At 45.1% G+C, this 21,271-nt stretch overlaps 2 protein-coding genes across 16 annotated transcripts in view, besides 4 other annotated features; one reads left to right on the forward strand and one right to left on the reverse strand.

Moving 5' to 3' along the window:
* The window catches only part of FHIP1B (FHF complex subunit HOOK interacting protein 1B), a 23,292-nt gene extending 14,359 nt beyond the window's left edge, over positions 1-8,933 (reverse strand). For 7 of the 11 annotated variants that reach the window (XM_047427687.1, XM_006718343.4, NM_001098794.2 and 4 more), the window contains exon 1: positions 8,841-8,933. The gene's annotated coding sequence lies outside the window, so the exon portion shown is untranslated. Of the gene's footprint in view, positions 1-4,394 lie in introns of all 11 variants that reach the window. The other 4 variants (XM_047427688.1, XM_047427685.1, XM_047427686.1 and 1 more) reach the window with 1 other exon arrangement.
* Positions 8,608-8,657: a silencer, noted in NCBI's record as "silent region_3097". NCBI's record gives its function as "represses an Ori minimal core promoter by ATAC-STARR-seq in GM12878 lymphoblastoid cells {active_cell/tissue: GM12878}" and the evidence as "EXISTENCE:reporter gene assay evidence [ECO:0000049][PMID:35858748]".
* Positions 8,838-9,137: a silencer, noted in NCBI's record as "silent region_3098". NCBI's record gives its function as "represses an Ori minimal core promoter by ATAC-STARR-seq in GM12878 lymphoblastoid cells {active_cell/tissue: GM12878}" and the evidence as "EXISTENCE:reporter gene assay evidence [ECO:0000049][PMID:35858748]".
* Positions 9,090-19,273, forward strand: CNGA4 (cyclic nucleotide gated channel subunit alpha 4). 5 transcript variants are annotated; one of them, XM_017017219.2, is made up of 6 exons: positions 9,090-9,256; positions 13,681-13,782; positions 13,981-14,087; positions 14,363-15,008; positions 15,728-16,077; positions 18,240-19,273. In XM_017017219.2, the coding sequence occupies exons 2-6, from the start codon at positions 13,739-13,741 to the stop codon at positions 18,704-18,706; spliced, it is 1,614 nt and encodes a 537-aa protein (XP_016872708.1). In that variant the 5' UTR covers positions 9,090-9,256; positions 13,681-13,738; the 3' UTR covers positions 18,707-19,273. The 5 variants fall into 5 exon arrangements, with proteins under 5 accessions (XP_016872708.1, XP_016872707.1, XP_024304121.1 ...); XM_017017218.3 differs by having other exon boundaries at positions 9,090-9,154; XM_024448353.2 differs by having other exon boundaries at positions 18,246-18,776.
* Positions 9,180-9,870: an enhancer, noted in NCBI's record as "H3K27ac-H3K4me1 hESC enhancer chr11:6256113-6256803 (GRCh37/hg19 assembly coordinates)". NCBI's record gives its function as "activates a minimal SCP1, AML or CMV promoter by ChIP-STARR-seq in primed H9 embryonic stem cells {active_cell/tissue: H9 hESC(primed)}" and the evidence as "EXISTENCE:reporter gene assay evidence [ECO:0000049][PMID:30033119]".
* Positions 9,268-9,347: an enhancer, noted in NCBI's record as "active region_4335". NCBI's record gives its function as "activates an Ori minimal core promoter by ATAC-STARR-seq in GM12878 lymphoblastoid cells {active_cell/tissue: GM12878}" and the evidence as "EXISTENCE:reporter gene assay evidence [ECO:0000049][PMID:35858748]".
* Positions 19,274-21,271: the final 1,998 nt, after the last annotated feature.

Below are 21,271 nucleotides of genomic sequence, written 5' to 3' on the forward strand. Positions count from 1 at the left end.
GACTACTGAAGAAGAAATTTCTGTCTATCACAGGTGCTTCCCTAGAAACCTACCCAGTGACCTATGGGAGATGAGCAAATAAGACCCTTAACTGACTGAATACTCTTAAGAGGAAGAATTCAGAGCCAACCAATAAAGAAGAGCTGTTTCCTTTCCAGTAAGGAAGACAGACACATTCCCATCTCCACTCCTGCCAGACACAACCCAAACTCGCTCCCAAGAAAATGGTAAGACATCCTCACAAGAAAAAGGAAAAAAGTACCAAGTAGCTATTGGAGAAGGAACCATAGTTCCTTCTCCTTTACAGCCACCACACCCTCATCAGTACTGTCTCTCACAAGCATAAAACCTTGAAAGGAAAGGGGTGGTTCAGTTGTCCTTCCTCTTTATACTCAACAAAGGCCGAAGGAATCCAGAGACCTGGCACCAGCCCCACATTTTGCCCTAAGGTTATATTAACAATATCTCCCTTCACCCAGATACTCTCTCACACAATTTCCAGCTCACAACTAAAGGAAGGTAGCCACTATGTTTAAGCAAAATTTCTATAGAACAGGTGAGTCTTATAAAGGGAGGGGCCCAGTCCTAAAGAGCAGGTAGGGCTTACTCATTAACTCAATGTATATCCATATGGATAAAATACTGGGCACTGTTCTAAGTAAGCACTGGAAATAACAAAGATGGATAAAAACAGTTGAGGTAGCATAAACATAAATCCAACAAATATTGTAAATAGAAGTATTTATAAAAAGTGTCATGGGGGCATGAAGGAAAACAACTAACTCTGCCTGGGCTATTAGAGGGTTCCACAGAGTTAATATTGAACTTAGATCTTTAATAATGAGATACTAATTAAGCAGAGAGCAGAGGGAAAGGTTTTCTTCATATTAAAAACAGTACGTACAAAACTATGGTACCGTGAAAGAACACGAAAAATTCAAAGAACAGTTGCAAATTTAGTGTGCCTTAATCACAGACTATTCAGAGAAGAGAGGCACAACATTAGTTGAAGGGTAAATGTGGGTGACGGTTATAAGTATTGCTAAATATTATGCTAAGGAGTTTAGCTTTTGTCTACTGACACCCTAGAAACAAAGGAGGTTTTTAAACAAGAAAATGGTAAGATCAGATTGTCCTTCAAAAATACATCAGGTAACAGAATAAGATGGAGCAGAGAGAGATGGATTGCAGTGGACAATTTATAAGAAGCTGTTTCAATAGTCCATTTGAAAATAAGAAAGTAATGTCATGAACTAAGAGAAATATTAGGAAAGATAAATCTGAGATTCGCCTCTATCTTAATATGTTCCATGCAATACTGAAATTATTTATACCTGTAATACCTCTGCCAATCAATAGCAAGTTCCTTGACAAAATAAAAATAGCATTCATTTTTCTTTGAAATCCCAGTGCAAACATACAGCCTGAACTCAAATATGCTTTTGAAATTGAATGCTGAATTAATAAGTATTACAGCAAACATATATTTACTACATGCCAGGCTCCATTCCAGCACTACACGAAGTAGCTAACTTAAACCTCATAAAAACCCATTTAAGTATTATTATCCACATTTTACATAGGAGGAAATCAAGGCCCAGAGAGGTTAAATAAATTGCCCAACATTACCCAGCTAGTGACAGGACTAAAATGCAAATGCAGAATATCTGCCTCCAGATTTAAATTAACCGCAAAGTAAAAGCAACAAGACCTGGCAAACAAATGGGGGATGAGAGAAGACTCTCATAGGAAGTATAGGAGATTCAGTAAAAGATAAAGCCATTAACAGACTAGAAACACATAAGAAGGGGAATTGTGTTTTAGAAAAGAGGTTGAGTACAGTTTTGAACATGTTAAGTTTTGAGACATCTACAGGATATTCATGATGTCCAGAAAGCAAGTAGGAATACCATACTTGAGATAATGAATAAAATCAAGACAAAAGATACAAATTCAAGAGTTAGCAGCTTATAGACAACTATGAAGCTATGGAAGTAGATGGAATTATCCAAGGAGAACAGCAGATCATGAAAGGAGGTAAGGGTAAAATCATGGGGAAAACCAGGACGTAGGAAAGTTAAAAAGGAGGAGTCTTTAAAGAAGACTTTGAAGGGAGCCAGAAATAAAAGGAGAAACCCAAGAAATAACGATGATCTAGACATCAAAGAAAGGAAGTTTCAAGAAACTGGAGGTTGCCCATAGTGTATAGTTCTATAGAAAGATCAAGTAGAATGAAGACTAAAAATGGTGCAATCAAGTTTTTTACAAACTTAGTCAAATTAGTTAGTTAAAGAATAGGAATCGAAATGTAAGATGTACTTTCAGGAAATTCAGTAAAATGAGAAAGGATAAAAATAGGGTAGGCCAGGCGTGGTGGCTCATGCCTGTAATCCCAGCACTTTGGGAGGCCAAGGCAGGTAGATCACTTGAGGTCAGGAGTTTGAGACCAGCCTGACCAACACGGTGAAACCCCATCTCTATTTTAAAAAATACAAAATTAGCTGGGTGTGGTGGTGCACACCTGTAATCCCAGCTACTCAAGAGGCTAAGGCAGGAGAATCGCTTGAACCCAGGAGGCAGAGGTTGCGGTGAGCCAAGATCGCACCATTGCACTCTAGCCTGGGCAACAAGAGTGAAACTCTGTCTCAAAAAAAAAAATAGGGCAATAGCTTAAAGAAGTTGTGGTAAGGGGAGTCAAGAAAAAGCCTTTTGATTTTGCTGTAGGATGGGGAGGCTCAAGGGTGTCTGTCAAGTGAGAGCAGTAGTCTGAAGAAAGTGACAAGTTATAAATAAATAAGATAGAGATAAATGGCATTAAAATCGGGTATACTCAGAAAAATAGGTAAGACACCTTCTCTGAAAAAGGAAAAAATGAGTAATAAATAAAGGATGGATGCTACTTCAGGCAAATCTGAACATGAAGAAAGACAGAAGCTAACATCCAATCCACCACCAACCCCACCCCACCTTCCCTCCCTCACTCACTAGAAGAATGGGGGTGAGAGAGAAGAAAATGGGTGAGAAGGTGGCAAAGCCACAGAAGCACTGCTAAGTCTTTCATACATGGTTTCTTAATAAATCATTAACGCAGCAACAAAGACTAGTAGCCATCAGCAGGGATGCACTGGACAAGTACTTATCCACCCAGCTATTTATGGTCCCAATTAGGCATGGACTGGAAAAGATAAAGTCAACGGTTGAGAAAAGTGGTAAGCACTCTCCCCTATGGCTAGCCCCTCTTACAGTTATTAGCCCTGGGATACTGTACCATCCCTTGTTGGTTTCCTTAAACCCTATCCATATCTTTGTAAATATGGTCCCTTTATTAAACTCTTCCCAAACCCAGCTTGAGCTATCTGCCACCTGCAAAGAGCCTCATTGAAAAAAGAGTATTAATGTTTATGGAACACTTTTCTCAATCGTATCTCATTTTAAAGACTGAAAACAAAGACAATCAAACAAGAATAATACAGAGTAGTAGGTAAAGTCTGAACTCTGGAGTCCCTCAATGGTTTGAATCCCAGTCCACCATTCCCCAGCTGTGTGACTTTAAATAAATCATTTCACATATCTGAGCCTCAGCTTCCTCATCTATAAATTCCTGATGAAATAAGTATTGCTAGTTTTAAAAATTAAGTCACATAACAACCTATGTAGCATTCCAACCATAAAGAAGGTACTCTGTAAATTACATGTCCCTTTCCTGCTTCCTTCTCCTGATCCTATTTGACCCAAGTGCCCATATCTCTGACTGAGAAAAGAGATATAACCTGCTCTGATGTGTCCATCCTTATCGCCTCCCATGCATACCTCAGTCAGCTGAAGAAAGGCCAAGCATTCAGTCTCAGTAAGGTCTTAACATGTCCAAAACTAAACTGCCTCCAGCTTCTGGAATTTAATTTCAAACATTAACTGCTCCTACCTTGCAGTATACCTGAGGTGCCCATTATTGCTCCACCACTTGACCAACAAAGGGTACTGCTCATGGAACCAAGGAAGATTAGCCTCCAGGACCCTTCCTCACCCACCTGCCCACCGCAGTTCTACAATCCCATTTCAAAGACCTCAAGAGAAGATGTTGGAATCAGCATCTCAGATTCCAAAAGCCAATACTTAAACTGGGCCCTGTTCACATACAACAAAAGCATAAAAGAAAGCTATAGTTTGGTATTCCTATCACCTAATTAGACTCTCTGCAATGTTCAGAACAAGACAAAGAAAAGGTTAAAATCACCACCCTCTCATGGTGTCCTTTCCTCCCATAGCAAAGTCCAAAAAAAAAAAAAAAAAGCAGAACCTGCCACTCTCCAGATTTACCTTCAGGCTCAGCCACAGAGTAAAAAGGGGAACGAGCTGATCTCTCAGACCCAAAATGGCCAAGATCAGGCACTCACCTTATAGCCCAAAATACAGCCTTACAGCCACACACAGCAAGGGTGACAACCAACCTCGGAACTGCAGATACAGGGCAGGAAGTGGCTCAGCCTCACTTATGAACCTTTGCCCTGGGAGAGGCAAAGAGGAGGGAGCTGGGGGAAGGGATATACCTGCAACACCTACATTGGACAGAGAGACCAAAATGATCTTCCAAGAACAGGTCAGTAAAATTCTGTGGTGTCTCTCTCCTTACAGTGGCTCTTCCTAGGCAAGAAGACTAATTACTGACATAAGGAGGATGAATGGGCTGTTACCCTAAATACTGGAAGTTGAATGACCTGATTAAAATCTCATAGAAATACAAAGGGAAAAACCAACCAACCAAAAACACCACCTACTAGGAATTTATACTAGAGCTCAGCTTACACATTTCTTCCCTGCTTTTCCATCCCTCAGACAAATGGGATGTCAGGGTATGGTCCCAACTCATTCCCTTCCCTCCCCGCAATATCACTTCTGCTTCTTGCAGGGATCTCCTCATCTGACTCCAGCGGGGTCCATCCAATTCACAAAAGTGAACCTCTATTCTACAGTGACTCCTCTTTACAGCAATGAATCCTCATGTCACACACAGTTATCTCTACCTTGACAGAGATGTCAAAAAGGAGGTGAAACTGAACTAGATCCTAAAGGATAAGGAAAGTTCACTGGGCAGAGAAGAAAAGGCATTCCTAGTAGAGGAAGCAGCTATTACAAAGATTTCAAGGCTCAAAAAAGCAGCATGGTTTTAGGGAACTGTGAACAATTTATTCAAACTAGAATACAGACTAGGGAGTGGCACACGAGACTGGAGAGGTAAGCTGAAGCTAAATGATGCCATATTAAGAAATTTGGATGTTGTCCTACAGGACACAAAGAGCCAAAAGTTTTTAAGCCAAGGAGTTCGGAGATCAGATGTGTATTTTCAGAAAAATCATTCTAGGGATGGACCAGAAAATAGCAAGTTTTAAGACAAAAAATTGTTTTAAAAAAATCATATGAGGTGAGGGGGAGCTAAACTAAAGCTTTGACAGTGAAGATGTAGCAATGGAGATATAGAGAAGAGAGATAACACAGAGCGAAATGTATTAAGATTCTAGCAAATGATTGAATGCAGGGAGTAAAAGAGCAGAAAGTATGAAAGATGACAATGTAGTCCTTGCCTGGAGTGAGATAGGGGATATGAGGGCAAAGTCGGGCTTTTGGGGCAAAGACTATGAATTCTGTTTTGGACATGTTAATTTTGAGATACTTGTGGAGATACACAGATCAATAAACATGTATACTTGGAATACAGGGAAAGATGACACTAGATACAAAGGAGTAATCAACTCATTATGATATATTTTCTTTTTTTTTTTTTTTTTTTTCTTGAGGTGGGGCCTCTGTCACCCAGGCTGAAGTGCAGTGGTGTGACCTCATCTCACTGCAACCTCTGCCTCCCAGGCTCAAGCAATCCTCCCACCTCAGCCTCCGGAGTAGCCAGGACCACAAGTATGTGCAACCACACCTGGCTAATTTTTGGTGGGTTTTTTTGGTGGTGGTTTTATTGTCGTTGTTGTTGTTGTTTTGGTAGAGGCAGGGTTTCAAAATGTTGCCCAGGTTGGTCTCAAACTCCTGAAGTCAAGCGATCTGCCTGCCTCAGCCTCCCAAAATGCTAGGCGTGAGCCACTACGCCCAGCCTATTATGATATATTTTCACATTTCACATTATCTCTCTAAATTGAAATTATGTTTTCATGTGTCTCTCTCTCCCTACTAGACTGAAAATCCCTTGAGAGCTCGGATGACCATGTTTTATTCATGTTGTTATCCCATAAAATGTGAGCATCACAAGCACAGACTATATGTTGAAGAAGTATTTGTTGAATGAATAAACGAATTCATTCTCCTAGCACTTAGTAGAGTGCCTGGCACAGAGCAGATATGGAATAAATGATTAACACAGTACCCTAAACATGTTTCTATCTCTACATCATCATCCTCATGTATGTTTCATCCTCTCAGAACTACCACTCACTATATGATACAAATCAAAATCCATTATACTTAATGCACTACTATTTCAACAGAGTTTGGGATAGCAAACAATAAGCTTACCAAATCCAGTGCTTTCTCCATTATAACAAGGATTTAGACAGTCCCTAAGAACCATCTAATATTTGATTTGATTCATCCTATCACTATCATGATATGATCCACTATCAAGATGTGATCCAGGTATTATATATACCTGTTCCAATGTCACTGCGACAGCATTAAACATAACCTTCATCCCTATGTCACTCTCACAGTCCCTTTTCTGTCTTTTGGAAATAGAACAATTACAAATCATTAAAAAATCCTCCCACATCACCTTCAGTGTCTATTATAAATCTTCTTTCCCAAAGTCTCTCTCACTCTGAGACAAAATTCTGGGTTCAGCCTTGCCACTGTATCCCTGTATGATCTCTGGCTACTGAATTTAATTTCTCATCTATAAAATGAAAGTTCCTGTCTTTGTCTACAAGGTATCTATATAAATCAGTATAATAAAATTTGAAATCCCTATGTAAAGCATGAATGCTGTTCAGATGTTAAGTTATACAGAATCATTGTATAAATGTATGCTTCCTCAACCTAATACAACAGCCACACCATCATCACTTTAAATTTCTGAAGTTCATAAAGCTATAGAAATAATTTTTAAAATTAAAAATTGGGTTGACACTTTTTATTTGGGTAAATTAGATCTTTTTTTTTTTAACCCACCATCTACTGTTACCATTACTGCATCAACGAAAGAGCACTGCAACACCAAAAGAATAGGAATGATAATCTCTGAGAATAAATTTATCTTCATGAATAACCATACTGTCTTTCTCTCCCTCCATCTTGGATAGATGATAATTTTATCATGTACAGGGTCCTTGGTCCAGTGTTTAGGAACCACTACTCTAAACTCTGAACTGTAAGTTCTGACTGACTGGGCAAGTTGCCAAGTGTTCTACCAATATGGAGGCCTGTCTGGACTCCAGAAAGAAGCAATGAGAATATACCACAGGATATAGGAGTTGGCTCTGAAGCTAAGACTCTGGAAAAGAATGGGGACTGAGGCTGTCTAATTCTCAGGAAATGGTCTCTCCCTGTCCACTGTAGAGTTAAGGAAAGACTTAACTCTTTCTGAGTCTGGAAAGAATAGGATGTCCCAACCCCATGGCTGACTAGCAGTAGAGAGGAAAATTTAGTAGTGTGAAAGTGGCCATTATCACTGAATGCCAAACCAACTTTCCAGAATTTCACGTGCATTTGGGTTGGTGGGGAGAAGAGGACCTAAAAGAATGCTAGTAAGATGAACCCAACTACAGGGTGTGGAGAGGAAGAGATAAATTTTCAGGTGGCTAAAATGTTCAGTATCTTGAGACTGATGATGATTTCACAGATGTGTACACATGTCAAAACTCATCAAACACACATTTTAAATATAATATAAACTAGCTTTTTAAAAAATTCAACTGTAAGAAAGGAGAGTAAGGCCATCCTGTTTGGGATCCTAAATATAGTACTGTATAGGGCAAACCATATGACCTCCATAAAAGTAGAATTAGCAACTGAATATGGTCAATCCAATCAAAGACCCACAGTTAAGCACAGGTAAGGAGCAACAGTGGAATAAGGTTGTCCAGAAGCAAGTAGAGAGAAAACACAAGCTGTCACAGCGCAAAACCCTTCATGAGAGGGCCCATCTTCAACTATGCAGTCCAGAGAAGGAACTCGAAGGAACTGAAGTTTCTGTGATTACTCTGTTGAAGTCTGAGCCTCAAATATGACTTTCATTACCATAGTACTATTGCCTATGACACCTTCATTTTCTCGTCCTCCAGAATATGGAAAGTCCATGGGAGCAGAGGAGTCAGGTGCACAACACTTCCATCTAAGCTGCCCTACTTTGTCTAAAACTATTGCTCTCACTGGACAGGGCAGTCCATCGAAGGAGGCCTCAGAACCAACCTCTCACCTTTATCCAAGTCTCACAAGCCCTAATTCCCTCCTCCCATGCCTCGCCTTCAACTCCCTCACCAATTTGCCGCCACCCCGCAGGCTCCCACCTGCGCCTTTTACTCTCTCTCTCCTCGCGCAGGCCTTACCCCTCACTCTAGTCCCAGGGTATCCTTCACACCAGCCCTCAGTAGCCCCAGCCCTAGTAAACCGCGTTCAGGAGTCCCTTCAACTTGGCACCTCCGAAAGCACCCAGCCTCTCACAGCCCCTCATTTGTCCACTCACCTGTAAGCTCTCACCCTCCTTCCCTATCTTAGACACTCACACCCGGACCCTCACCACCTGCCAACCCCTCACAACCAGTACAGTAACCAAACCCGTCACCGTCTTTTCCCAGTCTCTCATCCCCACAAACGACTCTCCAGGCCCTCTGGCCCATGCGTACCGTTCACTCACGGAACGCCGAACCTGGCCGGGCCCGGTTGCTGCTGCGGTGTTAGGTGAGTTCAGGCCGCCGCCATCGCTTCTCAAGCGCACCAGCCGCGCCCCGCCCCGCGCCACACGCAGCCCGCGCCCCCGCGCACCACACGCAACCGCCCGGCGTCGCACGACTGGGCAATGGCGTGCCAGCTCATTGGCTGAGCCGGACCAAACCCGAGCAAGGACGCTTGTTTCCTGGCAACGGCTAAACGCAAGGGCGGGGTCGCCGACGGCTATCCGAGGGAGGAGCACCGCCTCTCCTCTTGGTTCCGTCCCTTCGTACGTAAACCCCGCCCCTCAGAAGGACTCCGGCGTGTCATAGGCGAAGGCCTCTGGGAAGGTGGAGGCCGGCAGGGCGGAGGCGGAGCCCGGGAAGGAAAGGTGGAACCAGAGGGCAGAAGGCGGGACCTAAGGAGAGGCGATTTTTACAGGCAGGGAAAGATCAGAAGGGCGGGGCTTGGGAGAGATGGAGCCGGAAGAAAGACGAGCGAGAAAGGGGTGGGGCCATGGATTCCAGGAGACGCTTGGAGTGGAAGAGTGGGTGTGGAGGGGCGAGGCTATCACGAAAAGAGAGGAGGAATCAGTAGGTGGGCCGGGCCTGCGGAAAAGTGGAGCCCTAGAGAGGGCTGACTGCGGGCACTCTAGTTCATTTTGCTCCATCGTCGTGCATAGCTTGGTCTCTACTTTAGTACCCCAGCGGTGACTGCCCCTGGCTCCCCCAACACCGCTGTGCTGTGCTGCTCCGTCACCCCTTGAGCACTTAGTCAAGGAACACGGAATAAGTGCCTGCATGCCCAGCTGGATTCCGGATCAATTAGAACCGGCCTCTGCTCTCCAGGACCTCAGAGAATTGCAGCGTAGTGTAATAAGTACATTACTACGGGGGCCACCTAGGAGCAGCACTTAGCATGATTTGCATGTATAGAGGATGAGAGGAAGGTACGGTGAAGGAGCTTAGGGAAGACTTCCGGGAGGTGACGGTGTCTAAGCCGAGTCTTGGGAAACAAGCAAGAGTAAGATAAACTAAAATAGAAAAATAGAAGTTTCAGATAAGGCATGTAGTTTTAAAAGTACTTTACCGGCTGGGCGCGGTGGCTCACGCCTGTAATCCCAGCACTTTGAGAGGCCGAGGCGGGCGGATCACGAGGTCAAGAGTTCGAGACCAGCCTGACCAACATAGTGAAACCCCGTCCCTACTACAAATACAAAAATTAACTGGGCGTAGTGGCGCGCGCCTGTAATCCCAGCTGCTTGGGAGGCTGGGGCAGGAGAATCGCTTGAACCCGGGAGGCGGAGGTTGCAGTTAGCCGAGATCGCACCACTGCATTCCAGCCTGGGCGACAGGGCGAGACTCCGTCTCAAAAAAAAAAAAAGAAAAGAAAAAAAGAAAAGTATTTTGCCAATGTTAAATACCTGGTTTTTATCATTGTGCTATAGTTATGTAAGATCATAACGTTAGGGGAAGATGGATAAGGAATTTATGAGAACTCTGTATTATTTTTGCAACTTTTCTGTAAGCCTAAAATTAGTTCAAATAAAAAGTATTTAAAAAGAAATAGAAGTTTCAGACCAAAGGATCAGCATATACCAGGGAAAGGAAGAATGGACAGCATGTGGGAGGTGCTGTAAGAACTGCAATCAGTACAGTGTGTCGGGAGCCTAGGGAACATGTGAGGAAACATTGTGAGATGAGGCTGAAGACATGGACTGGAGAACTTTATAAACCATGTTAAGGAATTTAGATTTTATTTTTGGGATGATAGCTATAAAGAATTTTATACATAGATTGATAGTTATACAGTAACTTTGCAAAAGACCAAACAAGCTGATAAGGCCCAAACTAGAGTAGCAAAAATGCAGAGAAGTGGACATGTGGATTTTTAGAAGGTAGATCACCATGGTTTGATGATTGGGTGGATATAAGAGGAAAATAAGAGGAAGAATTAAAAACTAATGCTTAGTTTATATAAATTCAAAAACAGGTAAAACTAAACTGTGATATTAGAATTCAGGATAGTGATTATTCTTGGAAAAACATTGACTGAAAGGGGCAGAGTGGGGCTCCTGAGGCACTGGTGATGTTCTGTTTCTTGATCTGAGTGCTTGGTTATATGGGTGTGTTCACTTTGTGAAAATGTATTAAGCTATATACTTAAGGATTGTACACCTTTCTCTGTGTTTGTTTGTTCTGGTTACTATGCTATGTGACAAACCAACCCAAACTTAGTGTCATAAAAACAATAGCCATTTTATTATGTGCACAAATTCTGGGAATTTGGACGAGATGCAACAGGAATGGCTTGTCTCTATTCCATGATGTCTGGGGCCTTATTTGTAAAGCTTGAACATCTAGAGGTGGTTTGAGGCTGGTGGCTGGAAGCATCTGGAGGCTTCTTCAGTCACACATCTAATTCCTGGGCTGGGATAATGAAAAAGCTGAACTCATTGGGCAAACTGTCAAACAGAACTTCTCACAATGTGATGGGTAGGTTCCAAGAGGGAACATTCTGAGAGGGAGCTACCAGACAACACGCATTCCAAGAGAACCAGAGGGAAGCTGCATGGCCTTTTATGATCTAGCCTTAGAAGTCACACAACATCACTCCTGCTATACAAACTATCACAAGGGAGTGGTGTCGAAGAATTTGTGACCATTTTTTTTAACTGCCACAACATTATACAGTAAATAGTAATAAATGCTTGTCATAGGTTTTTTTGCTGAAAGGGCATAGATAGGAATTCTAGAAGAAAAAGTGGAGGAAGATAATGAGCTTAGTTATAGACCCAATGGGTTGAAGGTGACCGCGGGATACCCAAGTAGGAACATCCAGTGAGCAGTTAGTCATATAGATAACTGAAACTCAGGGAGAGTTCTCGGGAGCCACTATATGAGAAAGGAAGTCCTGTGGGTGACTGACGTCAATCAGACAGAGTTAGGAGGATGGCAAAAGTAGAAAGCCTAGAACAGAATCCAAGAAAAAAAAAAAACACCATCATAGAAGGAATAGACAGAGGAGCTTATGAAAGACACTAAAAAGAAACAGCAAACCAAGACATTATGGCATTACAAAGGATTTTATTCATTTTGTTGCATTACTTTGAATGTTGTCTTTTTATTTTAACAAGCGTAATACTTTGCAAAAAGAAATTAAGAAGCCATGGGAAAAGAGAGTTTTTCAAAATTTAATTAGGGACCACAGGTTTTTCTTCTAAAACACACTCCAAAAACACAAACCTGATTTTATCACTGAACTGTGAAAAACTCTTCACAGGTTCTCTATTGCCGTTGGGTAAAATCCAAGCTTTATAACATGGCTGACAGAACTCCTCCTGAGCTGGCCTCTGTCTATCATTCAACCTCATCTCTCACCACTACCCGCTAGGCCCTCTAAAATAAGCCAATTGATATTTGCCCAGTCACCCACGCTTTTTGATATCTCTATGCCTTTGCCCACTCTGTGCATTCTGCCTCTAGTGCTCTTCACCCTCCCATCTCTGTACCCAACTCCTATTCATCCTGCAGAACCCAGGCTCTGTAGGGCCACTTCATGTGTACTATAATAGCCTTCCGTGTATCCAGCTAACAGAGTACTCATCAGCAGCCTGGCAATGACTGCTGCTGTTTAGTTACCTCATGTGTAATTACCTGCTGGCCTGACTATTTCACCTAGCAGACTGTGAGCTTCTGGAGAAGGGGGAGCGTGTCTTATTCATCTCCAATTCCTAGTATTTAGCACAATATTGGCCTGGCACACAGAACACCTGCCTATGGGTGTTCTGATTTTGATTTGTTGACTGAGAAAGATGATAGCAGTGAAAGGAACATCAGGTTGAGGGAGAAATTGTAGGGTTTTTGTTTGTTTTGATATAGGAGATATTGAAGCAGGTTCACAAAAAGAGAAAAGTTGAAAGATTGGGGACCATAAAACACATGGAATGGTTGGTAGGATCAGGCACTAGAAGTCACAAGAAGGATATGAGGACAAAAGCACCATAGGATGGCCCCTATCACACTACCTATGAGAATGGTGTGATGGGGGAAGGCGTATGTGGAGGTAGATAAGGGTAGGAAGTAGGTTACAAAAATAGAGCTCACTTCTCATGTGAGAGGCATCTCTTTGTCCCTGGAGAATAGTTTAGCACCTGACATAGATAAGCCATTCAGTAATAGTTGTTAAATAAATAAATAGTGAGGCCCAAATAGAATTTGCAAAGATAAAACAGAGTGTTTGATCCTACACTAAAACTGAGGTCTTCTGACCCAGAGGACACCTATGTAGCTCAGTTGCTGTGGAAAGAGGGGAGGAGGAAAACAGAGACAAGACTCAGGCTTCCCTCTGAGGCATGCACCCCCACCTTCTCCAGGGATCTCATTAGAGGTGTTTAGCTGGGCAGGTGTAAGCCCAGGCCCTGGGAGACAGGGCAGAGTGCTAGAGCTAGACTGTCTCCACCCCTTCAGTAGCGCTAGCTCTGGTTGTGTTGCTAAGAGCCCCAAAGACAAAGAAGTCACAGCAGAAGCCCAACAGCAGCCTCCTTCAGGCAGTCAGGCACTAGTGCCCAACTCCAGAAGTCCCCTACAGGCAGAGAGGGTGTGGACATCTCACACCCCAGCACCAGACCACAGAACCATGAGCCAGGACACCAAAGTGAAGACAACAGAGTCCAGTCCCCCAGCCCCATCCAAGGCCAGGTGAGAAGTCCTGGTCCCTTGTGTGGGATCTCTCCTCATTCCTCTTGGTGCCCCAGTCACAACTACAGCTTTGAATGCCTGGTGAATAAATGAAGCAAGACTTTCTTTCTTACAGGAAGTTGCTGCCTGTCCTGGACCCATCTGGGGATTACTACTACTGGTGGCTGAACACAATGGTCTTCCCAGTCATGTATAACCTCATCATCCTCGTGTGCAGGTATGGCAGCGGTGCTAAGGGAGGGGCTGGAAGCCAAAAAGAGGACTAAAGAGAGGTCAAGGAGAAGGGCAGACCCTTGGTGGGGCAGGAGGAGCAATTCCCATGGGAGGGCCTGAGGCAGAGGGTTAAGGGCCCTGGGGAGACGCCTCGCACACAGAGGGTGCCCTTAATTCAATCATGCTTAACCCTGCCCTGCAGAGCCTGCTTCCCCGACTTGCAGCACGGTTATCTGGTGGCCTGGTTGGTGCTGGACTACACGAGTGACCTGCTATACCTACTAGACATGGTGGTGCGCTTCCACACAGGTCAGTGGGCTTCTAGGAATGACCCTTTGTCCCACATTCCCTTCCTAAAGATAGCCACTTAAGAAGTAACAAGAAAGGCACCCCCACCGTGGTAGCACCTTCGCGTGCCTCTATGCCTGACAGCATCCCAGTGCTCACCCCGGAAAGCCGGGAGCAGAGTTATGCCTGGCTCCACTCTGTCCTTCAGACAGTCTCCCTGGCCTGCCCTGGGCAGCTCATGCTCAGCCCAAGCTTGACTACAGCAGGTCCGCTTCCTACCGGCTCCCTCTCCCCAGGATTCTTGGAACAGGGCATCCTGGTGGTGGACAAGGGTAGGATCTCGAGTCGCTACGTTCGCACCTGGAGTTTCTTCTTGGACCTGGCTTCCCTGATGCCCACAGATGTGGTCTACGTGCGGCTGGGCCCGCACACACCCACCCTGAGGCTGAACCGCTTTCTCCGCGCGCCCCGCCTCTTCGAGGCCTTCGACCGCACAGAGACCCGCACAGCTTACCCAAATGCCTTTCGCATTGCCAAGCTGATGCTTTACATTTTTGTCGTCATCCATTGGAACAGCTGCCTATACTTTGCCCTATCCCGGTACCTGGGCTTCGGGCGTGACGCATGGGTGTACCCGGACCCCGCGCAGCCTGGCTTTGAGCGCCTGCGGCGCCAGTACCTCTATAGCTTTTACTTCTCCACGCTGATACTGACTACAGTGGGCGATACACCGCCGCCAGCCAGGGAAGAAGAGTACCTCTTCATGGTGGGCGACTTCCTGCTGGCCGTCATGGGTTTCGCCACCATCATGGGTAGCATGAGCTCTGTCATCTACAACATGAACACTGCAGATGCGGCTTTCTACCCAGATCATGCACTGGTGAAGAAGTACATGAAGCTGCAGCACGTCAACCGCAAGCTGGAGCGGCGAGTTATTGACTGGTGAGAAGGCGGGGTTCCAGACCAGGACAGGGACCAGTGTAGGTGATGGAACCTGAGGGAGGTAACTGGGTCCTTAGTGCCTGGTGAGCCAGGCAAGGCTGTCAAAATGTAGCATTCAGCCGTGGGTTTGCTGGCTGGGGCTTGGAAAAAGGGAACTTCTTTCAACTGAGGGAATCAGGACTTGGGGGAGGGGTAGGTAAGAGACTGATAGGGAGAGGAGCTCATACTCAAAAAAGGATAATATGGAGACCAGGGAATGGGAAGTGCCACTGCCTGGTAGGGCTCAGAAGGCTCTGGAAGGAGTGGGTGAAGAAGGGCAATCCCCCCTGAGAATGGTCAGCAACAAGATCATTGGCTACCTATGGTGATTCATACTGTGGACTGAACAAAAGGAAGTGTCACAAAGTTGGGGAAGTAGAGCAGAGGGTCCCCAGAGAGGAGGGGCCCTTGGTGGCTGAGGTAGCTAAGGGTAGGGGTGGAACAAGACATCACTGATTGGTGGGTAGGGTAGAGCCTGATAGGAGGTGAAGGGTTATGTAAAGTGGTAGAGGTGTCTATGCCCTGGAAAACAGGTAATCCAACTGTCAGGTACTCCCATGACCCCTGTTAGATCTCAGTATGGTGGGATTCTTGGCTGGAGCTGAGCTGAGCCCTGAAGGAAGGGATGGAGGCAGGCACATAAAGGGCTGGTAAGGAAATGGCACTGTCCTTACTCTCAGGTATCAGCACCTGCAGATCAACAAGAAGATGACCAACGAGGTAGCCATCTTACAGCACTTGCCTGAGCGGCTGCGGGCAGAAGTGGCTGTGTCTGTGCACCTGTCCACTCTGAGCCGGGTGCAGATCTTTCAGAACTGTGAGGCCAGCCTGCTGGAGGAGCTGGTGCTGAAGCTGCAGCCCCAGACCTACTCACCAGGTGAATATGTATGCCGCAAAGGAGACATTGGCCAAGAGATGTACATCATCCGAGAGGGTCAACTGGCCGTGGTGGCAGATGATGGTATCACACAGTATGCTGTGCTCGGTGCAGGGCTCTACTTTGGGGAGATCAGCATCATCAACATCAAAGGTGGGTATCCCAGTATTTGTTCCAGGGACAAGGATGGGTGGGGTAGGGGGGAACAGCAGAGCCCAGTGCTGGGACCAGATAGTACTTCAGGCCTAAACTTCTGATTGAGGAAACCTGGCCCTTCTCTGAGTCACTAGATGGCTCAGGAGAAAAACAACACATAGAGGATCCATTCCCTGAGAAGAAGCTGAGCCAAGGCCAGTGAACAGGGTGGGTTCGTGGAAGAGAGAGTAGACTTGCTCTGTGGATATTCACCTGAAGCACCAATAGACTAGTGGACAGTGATAGAGATAATAATAATAATAATAGCTAATATTTATTACCTGCTTACTGCATCCCCTTTTCTAAGTGCTTCACATGATATTAACTCATTACATTCCCGCAGCAGTTCTATAAGATAAGTACTATTCTTATCCCAATTTTAAAGATAAGGAAATCAAACTCAAAGAAGTTGGGTAATTTGCCCAACGTCGCACAGGTATACACATGTGGGATGAGTGGAAAAAACAACCTTTTTACAGCCAAGTGGAAAGAGAAAGGTAGAAGAGAAGAAGTTCCCATTTACTGACCATCACCTCTAGGCCAAGCCAGGTACTACCTACTGGCTTGCTTTTTCCTCTCATCAGCCCTGTGCAGTAGGAATTGTTATGCCTAATCACAGGTATTAGGCATGAGGTCGTGCAAGCAGGAAATCCTGCAAATGGGGTAAGCACACTGTCATGGACCGAGAAGCTGGATGTGCTCTGGCTCTCTCAGCATGAGGATTCTACCCTCAGGGATTCTGAAAGCCTCACATCTGTCCTCCAATGATCCCCTCAAGCTCCACATCCTGTATGTGGTAGGATGCTGTCTGTTTGACTTTGGACAAGTCATTTCCCTATTTAGGCCTCAGTTTAATCACCTATCCAATGAGGACAATAATAAAAACCCAATGAGTTATTTGTGAGAATAAATGAGCTATGTGAGTGAGGCATCCAGCGCAGTGCTTGGCATACAGCAAGTGTTCAACAAATAGTAGCTCCCTTTCCCTTGTCCAAGGTCCTTCTAGCTCTAAGACTTTGCAGCATTCAGCCTCACCTATCTCCCCACCCATTCTCCACCAACATCTTTCTAAACTGCAAAGGATATCATACAGCTCCCTGCTTAAAATACTTCAATAGTTTCCTACTGCCCTCAGCATAAGGCCTGAACTTCATGTCATGGCTTATGAGACCCAGTGTGACCTAGATCTCCCCTCTCTCCACCCTCCCCACACTCTGCGCTTCTCGCACTCTGAACTGCTTACTATTTTCTGCATCCAACTGACTCTTTTCTACCCCCTTCCCTCTGTTCCTGCTCCTTCCTCTGGCTAGATTGCCCTATCCCCACTTGTCCCCCTCCTCCCCCTAGTTACCTCCTACTCAGTTCAGGTGTATGAGACTGTTCTTGCATTTCTATAAAGAAATATGTGAGACTGGATAATTTATAAAGAAAAGAGGTTTAATTGGCTCACAGTTCTTCAGGATTTACGGGAAGCATGGTGCTGGCATTTGCTCAGCTTCTAGGGAGGCTTCAAGAAGCTTATAATTGTGGCAGAAGGCAAAGGGGGAGCAGGCATGTCACACGGTGAAAGCAGGAGCAAGGGTTGGGGGAGGTGCCACACTTTCAAACAACCAAAACAACCAGCTCTCGACTCACTAACTCAAAGACAGCATCAAGCCATGAAGGATTCGCCCCCATAATCCAATCACCTCCCACCAGGTCCCACCCCCAACATTGGGGATTACATTTCACATGAGATTTGGGCAGAGACAAATATTCAAATTATATCTTAGGACATCCCTTCCTCCAGACTTCCCTAAATTCCCTGCCTTACGGTTTGGTAGGGGCTCTTTGCCTACCTTTCCACAGCACCTGATGAACATGTCTTCACTGCACCAGCCATACTGTTATATAACTATTCCAATATATGTGTATCTCCTCTAGACTGTGAATTATTTGAGGCAGGTCACTGATACCTACCCAGCATGGAGCCTGGTCCCCAGTATGTTACTAAATGAAAGAATTAATGAGGCAGAAGGAGAGGCTCAGAAGCACAAATATGGAGGTGAAGGTCCTGGTTCAGGAGTGAAATGCCACCTCCTCACCCTCCTACTAACTGTCCTCCCATCTCTGCCCATGAGCCACAGGGAACATGTCTGGGAACCGCCGCACAGCCAACATCAAGAGCCTAGGTTATTCAGACCTATTCTGCCTGAGCAAGGAGGACCTGCGGGAGGTGCTGAGCGAGTATCCACAAGCACAGACCATCATGGAGGAGAAAGGACGTGAGATCCTGCTGAAAATGAACAAGTTGGACGTGAATGCTGAGGCAGCTGAGATCGCCCTGCAGGAGGCCACAGAGTCCCGGCTACGAGGCCTAGACCAGCAGCTGGATGATCTACAGACCAAGTTTGCTCGCCTCCTGGCTGAGCTGGAGTCCAGCGCACTTAAGATTGCTTACCGCATTGAACGGCTGGAGTGGCAGACTCGAGAGTGGCCAATGCCCGAGGACCTGGCTGAGGCTGATGACGAGGGTGAGCCTGAGGAGGGAACTTCCAAAGATGAAGAGGGCAGGGCCAGCCAGGAGGGACCCCCAGGTCCAGAGTGACCCCATCCCCATCCCCAGGATTCCCACCTCCTAGTGAATCCAGAGTTGTAGTAAAGCCTAACTGCTGCAACTCTGTCATCCTGTCTGCGAGATCACAGACACAGGAGCGAATTGGTCTGTAGATGCCCAGCTAGAGATATAGGAGTTTAACGCACATTCAGCCCCCACTTACCAGTACACACACACACACACACACACACACACACACACACACACACACATTTGCTCATAGACCTGTTGGCCCCAAGACTGTGCATTCCATCTAAAATGCTCTGGAATTTCCATTCTCAGAGCACACAGCACACATGCTTTCTCACAAGCACCGATGTATCTTACACCCACATAATATATACACATTCAGTCATGCACCTCCTAAACACACATATGCTGACAGTCATACACTGATAGACACAGATGCCCTTCACAGGTGTGCACACACTTGTGAAAACACAAAAGCACACCCTGAGCCCTCTAGGTCTAAGATGTCTTTTGAATGTTTCCCATATGGGCGATTCACAAGTATACCCTGAAAGTTGCACTTCAATAAAGTATTTGCCTCCTCCCTAAGCATTTATGGGGCTGGAAAGAAAAGGCAAAGTCAATGGTGGGCCAGGATGGATTCTGTCTGAATTCTGAAGTCTGAAGCCTGAATTCTGAGTCAAAGAGGTGATGAGCATGAACTGTGTAGTAGCTAGTGGGTTAGAGTCAGAGACGAGGTACCTGAAGAATAGAGAATCAATACTCAGCCTAGGCAAAGCAGGCTCTCACATCACACTGCTGTAAGAGTGCCCATGCACACTGGCCTTTGCATCCCACACCGGAGCATATGTTCTCGATTTATAAGCTCTGAGGGGTTTCATCTAGTTAAAAGGGCCCGAGCAGATACTTCTTCTTTTTCTTCCCTCTGGCCAGCCCTGGAGCCTGGATCCAGGGCTTCCCTGTGTTCAGGGCTGATTCCAAGAGGAGAATAATTCCATTCTCCCAACAGAAAGAGGGTGAATAGTTCCAACAGGACCGTTCACCTGGCCCAGCCCTACCATGACAGTTGTTGGAACTGGTGTTGGTGCTGGTGGAAATCCAGCCCTTCTTCTTTGCACAGTATTCCAAAATATAGGGGAGAGTAGAAACTAGGTGCAATGGAATATTACGGTCAGAGGCAATTAGAGATGAGGGTGTTGGGAATTTTGGAGTTAAATCTGGTGTACTTGGAAGGAGGTCTGCACTTGGGGCAGGAAAGATATCATAGGTTCTATGGGGAGGAGTCTGGTATCATGTCTGAACCAGATTCACCCTGAGTCACCACTGCGCTCCTCCAGGGCCTGGCCAGTCTTGAAGTCTGAGCTGTGCCAAGTAGTAGTTTAAAAGGTATCCAGGATTTAACTTATAGATATAACTGAGTGATGTGTCTCTACTCTCAGGGGAGATTATGAGGGTAATCACACTTTAAATCATCTTAAAATACATAGTTTTTTTGTAATATGTCCTTCTCACAAAATATAAGATCCACAAGACCAACACTGGGTTTTTCTTGTTCATCTTTGTGTCCCCAGGGTTGTGCCTGGCATCTAGTAAGTACCCAAATATATATTTGGTAACCAAAGAAGAGAGAGTTGAAGCAGATAGAGGACAAATGTTGAAGGAAGATGTGTGTCAATTTCTTGAGAGGTTTTTCTATCATCTCTGCCCTCATATCATCTTGAACTAGAATGGATGGGTACATCATAAAGGCCATTTGGGTGGCATCTGATGGATTTAGGGAGTTGAGAACAAGTTTTTCACTGACATATTACAATGTGCACACCTATCCCCAGCGAAGGCTGTCTTGGAAAAGCTGGCCTCTGCCACGCCATCTAATCCTGGTCTATAGCACTAGCAGGGTGATAACTGGTTATCTGGCATTTTATGATTGCAGAAACAAAACTCTCAAAGGGCCAGCTATCCATTTTGCTCTGCCTCTGCTATTCCAGGATGAGGAGATCAGAATCTTCATGGTGGAGCCACCATATCATAAGATACCTTGAATAGCATCAGTTGCTTTCTGAGGTCCTCTAGTTGTAGAATTGTTTTTATCACTCTGTTGAAGACAATATTTGGACAATTTGGGATCAAGCTGGGTAAAATTAGGTCAGGATATTCAGAACTGAACACAATTTTAAGTTCCTGGAATAATCAAGAAATAATAATAAATTCTTTTAGTCCAAAGAATATTAACTAATGTGTATCAAGCACTAGGCTATACACTTACAAATGTGGCCAAAAATTTTATTAAAATTTTCATTTGGGTTTTGTTAATTTTATCCCTCCTCCCATCATAAGAAAGGACCTAAATCTTTGCATCACTTAAAAGTTAAAGCTTTTGGCCAGGTCCGGTGGCTCACGCCTGTAATCCCAGCACTTTGGGAGGCCAAGACGGGCGGATCACGAGGTCAGGAGATCGAGACCATCCTGGCTAACATGGTGAAACCCTGAATACAAAAAAAAAAAATTAGCTGGGCATGGTCGCGGGCACCTGTAGTCCCAGCTACTGGGGAGGCTGACTCAGGAGAATGGCGTGAACCCGGGAGG

The sequence above is a fragment of the Homo sapiens genome, chromosome 11 (assembly GCF_000001405.40).
Source record: "Homo sapiens chromosome 11, GRCh38.p14 Primary Assembly".
Taxonomy (NCBI): Eukaryota; Metazoa; Chordata; class Mammalia; order Primates; family Hominidae; genus Homo; species Homo sapiens.